This window comes from Homo sapiens, chromosome 9, assembly GCF_000001405.40.
Source record: "Homo sapiens chromosome 9, GRCh38.p14 Primary Assembly".
Lineage (NCBI taxonomy): Eukaryota > Metazoa > Chordata > Mammalia > Primates > Hominidae > Homo > Homo sapiens.
In genome coordinates this window covers 93,442,119-93,454,441 of record NC_000009.12, presented here as the reverse complement: position 1 = coordinate 93,454,441, position 12,323 = coordinate 93,442,119, and the positions used below count along the sequence as shown (strand labels likewise).

Here is a 12,323-nt window from a genome sequence, read left to right as displayed (position 1 = left end):
AAGCACCCCCCTACACCCGCCAACCCCCCACATCACTGTACCCAAACTTCCTGACATCTTGCTTGGTTGCTGAGAAATTTCTAGTAGCTAAATCTCTTAGGCACTTTTCAAAAAGGTAAGGTTGCCAGCTAAGAGACCACCAAGTAATTGAGTTATTACAATATTCATTTTGTGCAATTCGCACTATAATATGACCCTAGGTCAATAATTAAAAGCTTAGCAAAAGCAAAATACAGACAAAATTATCCCATTATCCCGTGTCCAGAAACCTAAGTGAAAAAGACGATCTTAAATGGAGCTTAAATCTAGTTTCCTAACACTGACACATTGGTCTGAATTCTGAGCACCTACTAGGTGTGCGAGGCATTCAAAGGGGTGCAAAGATAAAGAAACTGTAGAATTAAAAAGAACTCAACAGTTCTTTAAAGATACAGTGACCATATGCATACATACTGATTCTAATCCTAAGTAATATTCACAGTGTTCCCTTGAAAGTCGCTTGACTAGTTAAGTAGAGAGCTGTGCGGTTACCAAAGGCAAGTCAGTGCAGCTCATCCTGTCTTTTAAGTAGTCTTTTCCATCTCTGAACAAGACTAAACTATGAACACTTTTACGCTCTATTAGGGAGATGGATCGCTTCAGACAAATGGCAGCACCTTACTTCCCTGAGCGCCCCAGGCTCCGATTCAGAAATTAAAAGGCAGGCACTTCCTCTCACCCGAACTTCCCTGAGGAATGGCAGCTGTGTGTCTGCCAGGCGCAGGGGCCAATCGGGACTCTGCCGGCCGCCTCCACCCACGACTTAAACACCATCTCACCAATTGCAACCGGATCGTGGGTGGGACTTCCGCTATCATTTTAGGCTTAACTACCACCATCTCCTCGCGGGCAGTGGGGGCAACCGCGAAGACAGAATTTCACAAACTTTCAGCTCCAGCAGTTTCAAGGAAATGTCAAATGACAAGATGGAAGACCGAGTGTCAAGAGCTAAGACAACAAAAAGGCCCCCAAAATTTGTTTTCAAGAAAACCAATGAAAAAAGCAAGCAATCAGAACGTGAAGTCCAGGATCATGGATGTGCTTATCTTCACAGTCACTGCTGGGTCCTGAAGTTCTCCTCTGGCCCAGTGCCAGCTGCGAAGCCCTCTGCCAAAGGGCCAGAGGAGGCCGGTGATATAGAGCTCTGATTACCCACCCGTCAGGGCACCGCTGAAGGTCACTGAATACTTACTGTGCACCCGAAAAATAAATCCTGCGAGTTCACGCCCGCGTAGTTCGCCCCCTGATTTTGAGCGACTCCTTTCGCATGGGATCTACAAAACCGAACTGCCTTAAAGACCTCTTTCACACGGACGTGAAGTCACAGAACTGACAAAATCCCATCCTGTCAAAGTGCACGGGTCTTTGAAATCTAACACAAAAAGCCATAGAAAGATTCTCTAAACACCCTGTACTAAGAGGAACACGGACAGGGCACTGCGTTCTGAAGTAGAGGCCAGGGCACTGGCCCTTAGACACGTCTCGCTGTCACCGGGCTAACAACATTGGCAAGGGCGGCGGCAGCAGCACTGATATTTGCAGCCCCCAAGGGCTCTGGCGAAACCCCCTCTATTACTCTGTATCCTGCCTGCTTCCAAGATGAACCTGTTGCTGGGAAAGAACAGGCTAAATTAGAAAAGGGAGTATTTTGTCAAAGTTGAAGGTGAGTGATAGCCTGCCCGCCTCAAATAGGATGGGAAAAACTAAGGATATTGGGGATGATGACACTGTCGCCTCCGAATTCTGGTCCGGGGCTCTCTCCCAGCCCTCAAGTGTCCCCACGCGGCCGCGGACCCCGAACAGGGACAGCTGGAGACGGGCTTGGGCAGCGCGCGGCCTGCACCCGCGGCCATCCATCTTGCAGCCCGGCCCGGCCAGGCTATCCCGGGCAAGGGCTGGGGGAACTCGCTGCCCCCAGCGCCGCCACGGCCGGGCGACATTCTGCGCCCTGGGAAGGGGGATAGGGGTGCGGCGCGGCCCCGGTCCCCGGCCCGCCCGGATCCCCGGCCTCACCTTGACGTGGAAGCGGATGAGCGCCAGGCGGATGCAGTGGGCCATGCAGACGGGCGGCAGGAACCAGACCTTTGGCGGCGGGGTGCCCTTGTTCTGGACATGGCTGACGATCTGCTGTGCCGTCTGGCGCTCGTTGCCCTGCCGCTTGACCCACTCGTGCAGCCGGGCCTTCTCGAGCGCGCCGTTGAAGAAGACGAAGAGCTCGATGTTGCCGCCGAAGCAGGCCTTGGCCAGCGCCGCCAGGTAGCCAAGCATGTGGTTCCACTGGCCGCCGCTGACCCAGTCGGTGTAGAAGCCGCCGTAGAGGCGGTGCAGGCAGTTGTCGGCGTCCACCAGCAGGCGCAGCGGGGTCTGCGGGGGCCGCTGCCGCCCGCCGCCCACCAGGCTGCCCCGGGCCAGCTTCTGCAGCTCCACCGGCACCACGGCGCTCGGGCAGTGCTTCTCGATGTAGTCCTGGAAGCCCTGCACGCCCATGGCGGCGGCGGGGGCGCGGGCGCGGGTGCGGGCGGGGGGCGGCGGGGCCGGGGGTGGTGGGGCCGTGGCGCGCGGGCGGGCTGGCGGGCGGGGGCGGCGGCCTCTAGGGGGGACTGGGGCGGGTCGGGGGCGCGCTCATGGCCGCCGCGGCCGCCATGTGCTGCCGCCTCCCAGGGCCATGTCTGGGGAGGGACCTGCCGCCGCCGCCGCTGCCGCCGCTGCGAGGCCGAGGCCGAGGCCGAGGCTGAGGGCCGGGGCGGGGCGGGCGGGCGGCGCTGACGTAGCGGACCCGCCCGGCGCGGACGCCGCCCAGGCCCGCCGGCTAGCAGGCGGAAGAGGCGGCGCCGGCGGGACGCGGCTCGGGGCTCCCGGAGGCGGCGGCGGAGGCGGAGGCCCGGAGTTGGGCCGGGACGGGATCCGGGAGGCTTCTGAGCCGGAGCAGGCAGCGCCTGGAGGCCAGAGGCCGTTCGCCCGCCTCAGGCCGGTCGGCCGCCGCTCCCCTCCCCTGCGCCCTGTTCCCGGCAGGGCCAGAGAGGCCGCCGCCTCCGCCCGGTGGTTCTCGGGCGAAGGGAAGCCGCGAAGCAGGTCCTGGGGAAGAGCTCGCCTGCTCCTGAGGGAAGCAGCGATAAGATGGCGCTTTGAAGGGGAGCCGAGGCCGAGTCACTCTGTTCGTCGGGACGCCGCCTTTCTAACGCCGCCGTCGGCTCGCACCACTCTGGGCCTGCTGCCCACACTGACTGCGGGGTCCGGGAGAGCGGGATGCTGGCCGGCCGCGCCTGGCTTCTTGGAAAGAGCAGGAAGGAGCGCGAGAATGCAGTTCCGCGGCAGGTGCTCATCCCAGCAGCTTCGGGCTCTCGGTTGTGGTTTTTACACCTATGACAAATGACATGGCCAAACACACCATAATGTCTGAAGGTACAGGTAGCCCTAAGCGCCTGCTCGTCACGGAAGAGACTGTCTTGAGAGCACAGGTCTGTTGCAGCGTGGGAAAGCCTGCGTTACCACTGCGCAATGGCTAGACTGAAACGTGCGCCTTTGCAGTGGATCTCCCAGCTCTTCTGAGGGAGAGGGATTTGAATCTTGTTGCTTTAGTAGCATCTTCTGGAAGGAGGTCGTTTACGTAAATTCTGTTCCAAAGCTCTGTCGTAACTGCTTCTAAAATGAGGTTGATACTGTATGTATATTAGGCTTGCATAAAACATTTTCAAAAAGAGATTAATGTCTTTCAGAATATAAATTTAGAAACCCAGCACTCTAAAAGTTTTAAAGTGCCGCTTTTACTTACCTTCATCTCTCCATTTGTTCTTTTTTTGGAGAAACCTCTGTAGAGGAGCAGGATGCAACCGACAGGCTGTGGCCGGACAGCTGCTGCCCAGCACATGGAGCCTGCACGCGCACGGTTTGGCCAAAGAAGCCCCCATACTCCCGGTGAAAAAGGCAAGTTGGATTTTTCTGCTTTCTTTTCTGATACCCACCTCAAATGCAAGCCAGTATCATACGTACATAAATTAAATGCTGCTGGTATTTTAGGAAGTTACATTTAAAAGCAGGCTGACAAGTTATGCCACTCACCTATGCATAAAATTAGTCACAAAGCCAGGATGACATGTTATCTAAAAATAATACAGGCCAGGTGCGGTGGCTCACGCCTGTAATCCCAGCATTTTGGGAGGCCGAGGCGGGTGAATCATTTGAGATCAGGAGTTCGAGACCAGCCTGGCCAACATGGTGAAACCCCGTCTCTACTAAAAATGCAAAAATTAGGCGGGCCTGGTGGTGTGTGCGCCTGTAATCCCAGCTACTTGGGAGGCTGAGGCAGGAGAATTGGTTGAACCCGGGAGGCGGAGGTTGCAGTCAGCGGAGATGGCACCACTGCACTCTCTAGCCTGGGCAAAAAGCGAGATTCCGTCTCAAAAATAAATAAATAAATAAAAGAAATAATACAGTTAGCCATTAAATAACGAGCAAAATCCAGAAATATCCAAATTTGCTTTTATAACCCAAGGCAGGTTCACAAGGTGAGGAGTAGTAGTTTTTAATCACTCGTATTTTCATTTGTAGCATTGCATTCCGTGTATTTACCTTTTCTTTAAACACTCTTGCTTTTAATTTTTAAAAATGCATTAGTGCGGCCGGGCGTGGTGGCTCACGCCTGTAATCCCAGCACGTTGGGAGGCCGAGGCGGGCAGATCACGAGGTCAAGAGATGGAGACCATCCTAGCCAACATGGTAAAACCCCATCTCTACTAAAAACACAAAAATTAGCCGAGCGTGGTGGTGCGCACCTGTAGTCCCAGCTACTCGGGAGGCTGAGGCAGGAGAATTGCTTGAACCTGGGAGGTGGAGGTTGCAGTGATCACGCCACTGCACTCCAGACTGGCAACAGAGCGAGGCTCCATCTCAAAAAAAAAAAAAAAAAAAAATGCCAGTGCCAGTATCTGGAATTCTGGAAATAAATTTATTTTCACCTTATTATATTGTAGAGGTCTAAGGTTCTGGAGTCAGGCCCCCAATATCCATCTTATGATAAGTCTGTGCCCTTGCAAAAATATTTACCTTATTGAACCTTGGATTTTATCATCTGTAAAATCAACATATTAATAGTACTTAACCTCCCAGGTTGTTATAAGGATTAAATCAGATAACCTGTGTGCCTGCCACACAACAAATGCTCAATAAATGTTGGCTTTTGTAGTTATTTCCAGAAACTGTATTTGTCTAGACTTATACTCGAGAACATAGACCAGTTATTGTACTTTTGGAAAGTTTAAAATTCATTATTGTATCATAACACATAAAACTCAATTCTTAGTTGCCCTATTTAGCTTTGTGTTCTTTAAAAAAAAAAAAAAAAAACTTTATTTATTGAGTAGCTATTGATGGTGGGCAAAATGTTTAGCTGACAAACACTTATATACTCTGCATCCTTAACTCAAATTCAGGGGTTGGTTGAAGTTAAATTGCTTAAATATTGAGGTAAAAATAAACATCTGGGCCGGGCGCAGTGGCTCACGCCTGTAATCCCAGCACTTTGGGAGGCTGAGGTGGGCGGATCACAAGGTCAGGAAATCCAGACCATCCTGGCTAACACGGTGAAACTCCGTCTCTACTAAAAAAAATACAAAAAAAAATTAGCCGGGCGTGGTGGCAGGCGCCTATAGTCCCAGCTACTCAGGAGGCTGAGGCAGGAGAATGGCGTGAACCCAGGAGGCGGAGCTTGCAGTGAGCCGAGATCACGCCACTGCATTCTAGCCTGGGCAACAGAGCGAGACTCCATCTTAAAAATAAAAAATAAAAAATAAACATCTGTATTTAAAATTTAATAAAAAGTTATGTCTTCTTGGAGGTTACAATATGACAACTAATGGTTGGGGACTTTTTCTTTTTTTATTTTGTATTTATTTTATTTATTTTTTCTCCCCCAAGATGGAGTCTTGCTCTGTTGCCCAGGCTGGAGTACAATGATGTGTTCTCAGCTCACTGCAACCTCCCTCTCCCAGGTTCAAGTGATCTCCTGCCTCAGCCTCTGGAGTAGCTGGGATTACAGGTACACACCATCACACCTGGCTAAGTTTTGTATTTTTAGTAGAGACGGGGTTTCACCATGTTGGCCAGGCCAGTCTCGAACTCCTGACTTCAAGTGATCCACTTGCCTCTGCCTCCCAAAGTGCAGGGATTACAGGCATGAGCTACCGCGCCCAGCCTAATATCATTAATTAATATTTTACTTAGGTGAGGTATCTAACCACCAACAATAACAGATGAGTTTCCAGTTTTTCAAACAAGGTAATAAGAGACCTTAATGCTGCCCATGTAATCATTAGCAGATGTTGGGAGACCAGCAGACTGGAGCTAAGCAGGGAGTCTGCGATCATGGAAGAGAGCAAATTAATCCACACTAGGGATTCTAACCTATAATGTTTACCTAGCACCAGCCCTGTTAATTAATTGTCAATTTAAATTACCCAGAAGAACACACACATCTGTAGGCCTGCTTCATAAATGGTAGATCAGTAACTGACCACACTGCAGCCGTGTATCGGCAGTTGAGTTTTTTGGTCTTCAGGCTCTGCTATCTCTCCAGTACTATGAGTTATCAGCAGTAGCAGAGGGTAGGAGAGCTCCACAGAGATCAATATTCGGACTCTGGAGACCATGACAAAATACATTTCATATTCCAAACTAATATATAAACTACCTTTTTTTTTTTCTTTTCAGATTTCCAGAAGCTGTTCTGTCAATAACAAAGTCTCAAAGAAAACCACAAAACCACCAACACTAAGATCATTCTTGAGTCCAATTTGAAAAACTAGGGTCAAGTTCTGCAGAGGCATTGAAAGGACAAGAAACCACCCTGATACCCATCGTGTGAGGGAAAATGCTCTATTCACCATTCCTCAGCTTCTGCTTCTGGTTTCAGAGTTCTCTCTATATTGGAGGGTGTTTTAAAGCTAGAGTGGTCTTTATCCACTTTTATTAACACATCTGAATGTGAAGGTCAAGAGAGGAAAGTGATATGTCCTAAGTCAGAGTAGAGTCAACAAGAAAATAAGACAAACAGCGACTGAGCCCCTGGTGTATACTGGGCATTGGCCAGCTACTGGGGATATGGAGATGAAGAAAACATAACCCTTCTTCAAGGAGCCCAACCTACCAAGGTAGACAGACATATAGACAAATAGATACTTGCATAGAAAAAAAGAGGAAAAGGGGATCAGTGTGACCTGTGTAACTAAGTACCCTATAAACCCTCCTGCAACAGATCATATTGCCCTTTATAGTGGGGATGGTAATCCCATCTGAATTCCACAGGTACTTTGCAGTCATACCACACCCATGTGTCTGTCGGTCCTGACTGTACCATTTATAAACAGCTTCACTTTCAGCAGTTCTCAGCCCTCTTAAGCTAGGGTCATTGTCAGTAGGGATACTGCTTCATAAGCACCAGCAGAACACCAAAGGAGACCATATGGGTGAAAGCAACCAGCACTGCCCTGGCGCTTCATAGGTTCTTAGAGTTTTTATCTTTTACTTTCAGTCTAACACAGCACTGCCTGCTTTTTGTTTTTGTTGCTTGGTTTGTTTTTTTCTTACCGTGTTCACCAAACTTGTGTCCAAATAGCTTTGGGCTGATGCAAAAATATCTATGTGGAAGAGAAGAGTTGTTCTCATGGAGGGCCTTCAGATGAGTGCTATAGACTCTCTAGGCAACTCCAAGAGGCTTCTCAAGCAGGGTGGGCAGTGAGAGCTGCTATGGAATCAATGGACAAACTGACAGGGACTGCTTTGAAAGACAGTACTCAGTTGAGTATATATATTCTCTCTTAAGGGCTAAAAGTTTATAATCATCCCTTAAACACTCTGTGATGGGATCTTCAGGATCATCTTTTGAAGTAAACTATATTTTACAATGTGATATAAATCAAGTGAGTTTTTTTTTTAATTAGGAATTCCCGTAAGTATAAAGCCATTTTAAGATGTACATTTTAGAGACTAGCTATTGTTAAGTGGTCTGTTACATTTGTGTAAACCATAAAGATCTTTCCAGAGGAAGCAAGTCTCTCATACCAGAATATGAAAACACTAGCCCCAGGCTTGAGTAACCTAGATCACATGAAGCTGACTTCCTCTGAGGAGTCTAGGACCTCAGATATAGGTGGGAGCACACAATCACCCTTCTGGAAACAGCTAAGACTTGTGGCTCAGGCGTTTGACCTTGCTGACAAAGGAAGAGGTCAGGGTTGACGAGAGCTCCAGGAAGAATGAAAGTGCCTCTGGAAGGCAGGAAGAAAGTTACTGTAATACTTTATCCTTAGGGTGGAACAAGAGTCTGGGAAAGCTCTGCCCTATAAAGTCCCCTTCCCCATTCCTCCCAGGTCCCAGGTGTGGTGGTATAAGGAGAGTTGGCCCAATCTGGGAGCTGAGGGATCTGAGACATCCATCTACTGCATCAGTGCACTCAGAAGTGAGGATTTTGGCACAGTTATTCATGAGACATCAGCCCATCATATAAAACATGCCTCCAGTTTGGTTAAACTAGGAAGCACTATATAATATTTTAAAATCAGTTACATGTCACTGATAAAAGACTTAGTATTACCATGATGTTATTTTTCTTGAGGCAACATGATGAAACCCATTGTCTACAAAAAATCCAAAAATTAGCCAGGTGAGGTGTGCACCTGTAGTCCCATCTTCTCAGGAGGCTGAGGTGGGAAGACTACTTGAGCCAAGGTGGTGGAGGTTGGAGTGAGCCCAGATTACACCACTTGCACTCCAGCCTGGGCAACAGAGTGAGGCCTTGTCTCAAAAAAAAAAAAAAAAAAAAAAAACAACGATTTTTATGAAAGTTGGAGAACCAGGATTAAGACTGGGTGGGAACTAAGAATGACAGGTACTTTTAACAATACAGCTGGGATGCTGTTGATGACATGAATGAACCCCACTCTTACTGTAGTCATTTGCTCAAGATTCAAAGTCATGAAAAAGAGTAGAATGGACCAAACTTAGGTACTAAGAGTCCCCAGCCTGGCAGTGAAAACAGTATAGTTCCTTTGACTTTAATATGGGGAAACAGGTTCCTGGATTGACGATCTCACCAAAACTATACACAATTTTTTTTTATTTTTTCTCAGACCTTTCAGGGATGAATATATACAATTTCTGAGAAAGAAACCTGAGTACCTTTAGGAAGGGAAAAGGAATGCTGAATATCCCCAAATAACATGTCTTACATGTTTGGTAAGACTTACTGTACCCTGTCCTAGAAGATAGAAGATGCCCTGCCCTTAGAAGACAAAGAGACTGTAGAGCTATGCCTTCTAAATCTTAAGCCACTCTTCAGATAATGGATCCCTTCATGGTCAGCCCAAACATCTCAAGAACTTTTAATTTGTACCGTTTGTCTTTTTTTCCATTTATTTAATACCACAAATTCACTTTATTATTATGAAGCCAATATCTACATCTTCTCACAAAGATTCTCTTAAGAAATGCAGAACTGGCCGGGTGCAGTGGCTCATTCCTGTAATCCCAGCACTTTGGGAGGCCGAGGCGGGTGGATCACCTGAGGTCGGGAGTTCAAGACCAGCCTGACAAACATGGAGAAACCCTGTCTCTACTAAAAATACAAAATCAGCTAGGCGTGGTGGCACATGCCTGTAATCCCAGCTACTAGGGAGGCTGAGGCAGAAGAATCCCTTGAACCTGGGAGGCGGAGGTTGCGGTGAGCCGAGATCGCACCATTGCACTCCAGCCTGGGCAACAAGAGCGAAACTCCGTCTCAGGAAAAAAAAAAAAAAGCAGAACTCCTTACTGGCCTCAAAACATACTGTGACATTTCCGTAACCTACAGGTCTAGAAATCCTGTGCCAAATATGGTTAACTTGTTTGCTGAGAAGGATGTGGAAGAACTGGAACCCTCATACACAGCTGATGGGAAAACAGTCTGGAACTTTCTTAAAACATTCTGGTAAATGGGGGCCCGGCAAGCTAGAAAGTGTGGCTATAATCCCTTGCTTTTTTCCTTTTTTAAACTTTTTCTCTCTCAGTCCTGACCTAAAGATGACCCTAGTCAGGCTGGACACGGTGGCTCACGCCTGTCATCCCAGCACTTTGGGAGGCCAAGACGGGTGGATCACCTGAAGTCAGGAGTTCAAGACCAGCCTGACCAACATGGAGAAACCCTGTCTCTACTAAAAACACAAAATTAGCTGGGCGTGGTGGTGCATGCCTATAATTCCAGCTACTCGGGAGGCTGAGGCAGGAGAATCGCTTGAACCTGGGAGGTGGAGGTTGCAGTGAGCCGAGATCGCGCCATTGCACTCCAGCCTGGACAGCAAGAGCAAAACTCCGTCTCAAAAAACAAAAACAAAAACAAACAAAAAAATTCCCCTGAGAGAAAACCTGTCTTTCCAGCCAGAGGAGCAGGAAAAAATGACCCTATGGTCTGAAGAATGTGGAAATAATCCATCTTTTTTTCTCTCTCTGCTTTCTGCCTGAGGGGCGTTCCTTTTGGCAAAATGAGCAGGCAGTGTAGGCAGGTAATCATCAGAGAGAAAGCCCATCTTTCTAAGCCAGAGGATGAGGAAAAGGGGCCCCCTGGGTGCCAGGGAGTCTGGGGGGAAATCCTGAAGAGCAAAGACCTGAAAAGAGGATTCTCTAATTCTGTACATGAGCTGAATTCCGTGCTCAGCCCAGAGCTGCACATACAAGAGACAGAGCCCAGGCAACACAGCCACACTCTGAACTGACACTCGGACCACCACCACCAAACAGAAGGCAACGCAGGACCTGCAGACTAAGGCTAACGAGGCTGATTGCCTGACAAAACAGAAAAAAAAGAAACATTCTTCAGGGAATTTTAGCAGAACACAGAGTCTCCCAACATAAAACAGACAGTCCTCACTGCACAGCAGTTCAGAACTGTAAAAATGACCTTCCAACCTGAAACTGCCATGTGCTGTTCATAATCATTAATGGGTAAAATTGTGATTTTTTTCCTGTCTTTTGAAAATTGTCAAAACATTGATAATCTTGTACTGTTAGAAATGTATAAGGAAACAATAAAGTAAATATTTTTGTACACTGTAATTTAAAACATTAGCAACACAGGGAATTAAAGTGCTTGATGTCTTCCTAAAAAAACCATCAACAGACATTTAAACAGTGCTTGCCTTCTTCAAAAGTCATGTACCTTATGATATAGAGGGAGCACCTTTTCTGTGTTCAAAAACTTGTCATGCCCCTTCTAAGTTTGGATCAGCTTCCAATATTTTATCCTTTTTGCTTTCAATGTCATGAAATATCTCCAAGTCCCTTTAACGTGAAGGTTTTTGCTGACGTTCCTTCCTCTGGAACATCTTCATCCTTTTCATCACAACCGCTTTCTTCATTTATTTGAGGAATTCACCTTCTCGGCAGCAGTGCCAGCATCCCCATAGTCTGTTTCTTCAGTGACCCCATTTATGTTTGATTTGCATTCACGTTCAGTGTTTTCAGTTTGAGTTTCTTTGCTGCATTTCTATCTTTATTTGTCAGTTTTCTCTTTTGAATATCCATTTGTGTAAAAATGCCATGTGGGTTTATCACTGGAAGACAAGGAGGCCACACAATTCACACTTTGCTGTCTGTGCGTGAAATGAACACAGATGCACAGTGACCAATCACCCGTAGGTTTTGGAAAGAAGAGGCATGATTGGTCACTGATCATGATGTACCTGTGTTATTATGTAGTGATTTGTGGACTGGGGAGCTAGCAGAAAGTTTGAACTTCATGCAATTACAGTTAATATATTCTGGTAACTCAAATTTGAACCATGTTGTCAGGGGACTGGTGTTCACCATAATAACTAAAATTTCAGAATCATGAAATGTCACTTCTGATATAGTCTATTCATTAAAAGTCAGTCCTAATTCTGGCTCACACTCAAGGGGAGGGGAATTAGGCCCCAGCTTCTGAAGAGAGGATCTCCAATTAATTTGTGGACATATTTTAGGATTCTTCAGGAAGTCCATATTCCTGAAGAATATTGGCACTGGGTATAGAATTTTGGATGGATGATTCTTTCCTATGAGTGCTTTAAAGGTATTGTTCCACTGCATCCTGGCCTACATGATTTTTTATTATATGTCTGAGATAACCCGTATTTCAAATTGTTCTTCCCTATACCGAATGTGTTGGGTTTTTTTCTGGCTACTTTCAGGATTCTTTCAATCTTTGGTTTTCAGCAGTTCGATTATGATATGCTGAGCATCTTCTTTGGATTTTGCTGAGTTTCTTGAATGTGTATTTATAT

The 12,323-nt window shown here is 47.3% G+C and overlaps 2 protein-coding genes across 27 annotated transcripts in view, besides 7 other annotated features; one reads left to right on the top strand and one right to left on the bottom strand.

Annotated features, from left to right (window-relative positions):
* FAM120A (family with sequence similarity 120 member A) overlaps positions 1–2,757 on the bottom strand; it is a 114,428-nt gene extending 111,671 nt beyond the window's left edge. For all 15 annotated transcript variants that reach the window (NM_001439102.1, XM_011518413.3, NM_001439104.1 and 12 more), the window contains exon 1: positions 2,053–2,757. In NM_001439102.1, coding sequence (NP_001426031.1) covers positions 2,053–2,526 — 474 coding nt within the window. In that variant the 5' untranslated portion in view covers positions 2,527–2,757. The remainder of the gene's footprint in view (positions 1–2,052) is intronic.
* Positions 661–955: an enhancer, noted in NCBI's record as "tiled region #4009; HepG2 Activating DNase unmatched - State 1:Tss, and K562 Activating DNase matched - State 1:Tss". NCBI's record gives its function as "activates a minimal TATA promoter and a strong SV40 promoter by Sharpr-MPRA in HepG2 and K562 cells {active_cell/tissue: HepG2 | K562}" and the evidence as "EXISTENCE:reporter gene assay evidence [ECO:0000049][PMID:27701403]".
* Positions 841–11,110, top strand: FAM120AOS (family with sequence similarity 120 member A opposite strand). Of its 12 annotated transcripts, none has more exons than NR_136230.2 (4): positions 841–1,702; positions 3,843–3,963; positions 5,953–6,073; positions 6,745–7,948. NR_136230.2 is itself a non-coding variant. In NM_198841.4 (3 exons), the coding sequence occupies exons 1-3, from the start codon at positions 1,733–1,735 to the stop codon at positions 6,829–6,831; spliced, it is 771 nt and encodes a 256-aa protein (NP_942138.2). In that variant the 5' UTR covers positions 861–1,732; the 3' UTR covers positions 6,832–11,110. The 12 variants fall into 12 exon arrangements, 2 of the variants coding, with proteins under 2 accessions (NP_942138.2, NP_001309153.1); NR_136231.3 differs by having other exon boundaries at positions 861–2,295; positions 6,745–11,110; NR_136234.3 differs by lacking the exon at positions 841–1,702 and adding an exon at positions 2,834–3,354 and having other exon boundaries at positions 6,745–11,110.
* Positions 1,019–1,148: an enhancer, noted in NCBI's record as "active region_28621". NCBI's record gives its function as "activates an Ori minimal core promoter by ATAC-STARR-seq in GM12878 lymphoblastoid cells {active_cell/tissue: GM12878}" and the evidence as "EXISTENCE:reporter gene assay evidence [ECO:0000049][PMID:35858748]".
* Positions 1,868–2,047: a silencer, noted in NCBI's record as "silent region_20046". NCBI's record gives its function as "represses an Ori minimal core promoter by ATAC-STARR-seq in GM12878 lymphoblastoid cells {active_cell/tissue: GM12878}" and the evidence as "EXISTENCE:reporter gene assay evidence [ECO:0000049][PMID:35858748]".
* Positions 2,348–2,477: a silencer, noted in NCBI's record as "silent region_20045". NCBI's record gives its function as "represses an Ori minimal core promoter by ATAC-STARR-seq in GM12878 lymphoblastoid cells {active_cell/tissue: GM12878}" and the evidence as "EXISTENCE:reporter gene assay evidence [ECO:0000049][PMID:35858748]".
* Positions 2,618–3,147: a silencer, noted in NCBI's record as "silent region_20044". NCBI's record gives its function as "represses an Ori minimal core promoter by ATAC-STARR-seq in GM12878 lymphoblastoid cells {active_cell/tissue: GM12878}" and the evidence as "EXISTENCE:reporter gene assay evidence [ECO:0000049][PMID:35858748]".
* Positions 2,618–3,277: a biological region, named in NCBI's record as "H3K27ac hESC enhancer GRCh37_chr9:96213447-96213996".
* Positions 2,728–3,277: an enhancer, noted in NCBI's record as "H3K27ac hESC enhancer chr9:96213447-96213996 (GRCh37/hg19 assembly coordinates)". NCBI's record gives its function as "activates a minimal SCP1, AML or CMV promoter by ChIP-STARR-seq in primed H9 embryonic stem cells {active_cell/tissue: H9 hESC(primed)}" and the evidence as "EXISTENCE:reporter gene assay evidence [ECO:0000049][PMID:30033119]".

Excerpts from the sequence above, each read along its gene's own strand:
- FAM120AOS (NM_198841.4), top strand. The coding sequence starts at position 1,733 with ATGGGAAAAACTAAGGATATTGGGGATGATGACACTGTCGCCTCCGAA. Across the intron at positions 2,296-3,842 it reads GCCTTGGCCAGCGCCGCCAG|AAACCTCTGTAGAGGAGCAG; the intron begins GTAGCCAAGCAT and ends CTTTTTTTGGAG. Across the intron at positions 3,964-6,744 it reads CCATACTCCCGGTGAAAAAG|ATTTCCAGAAGCTGTTCTGT; the intron begins GCAAGTTGGATT and ends TTTTCTTTTCAG.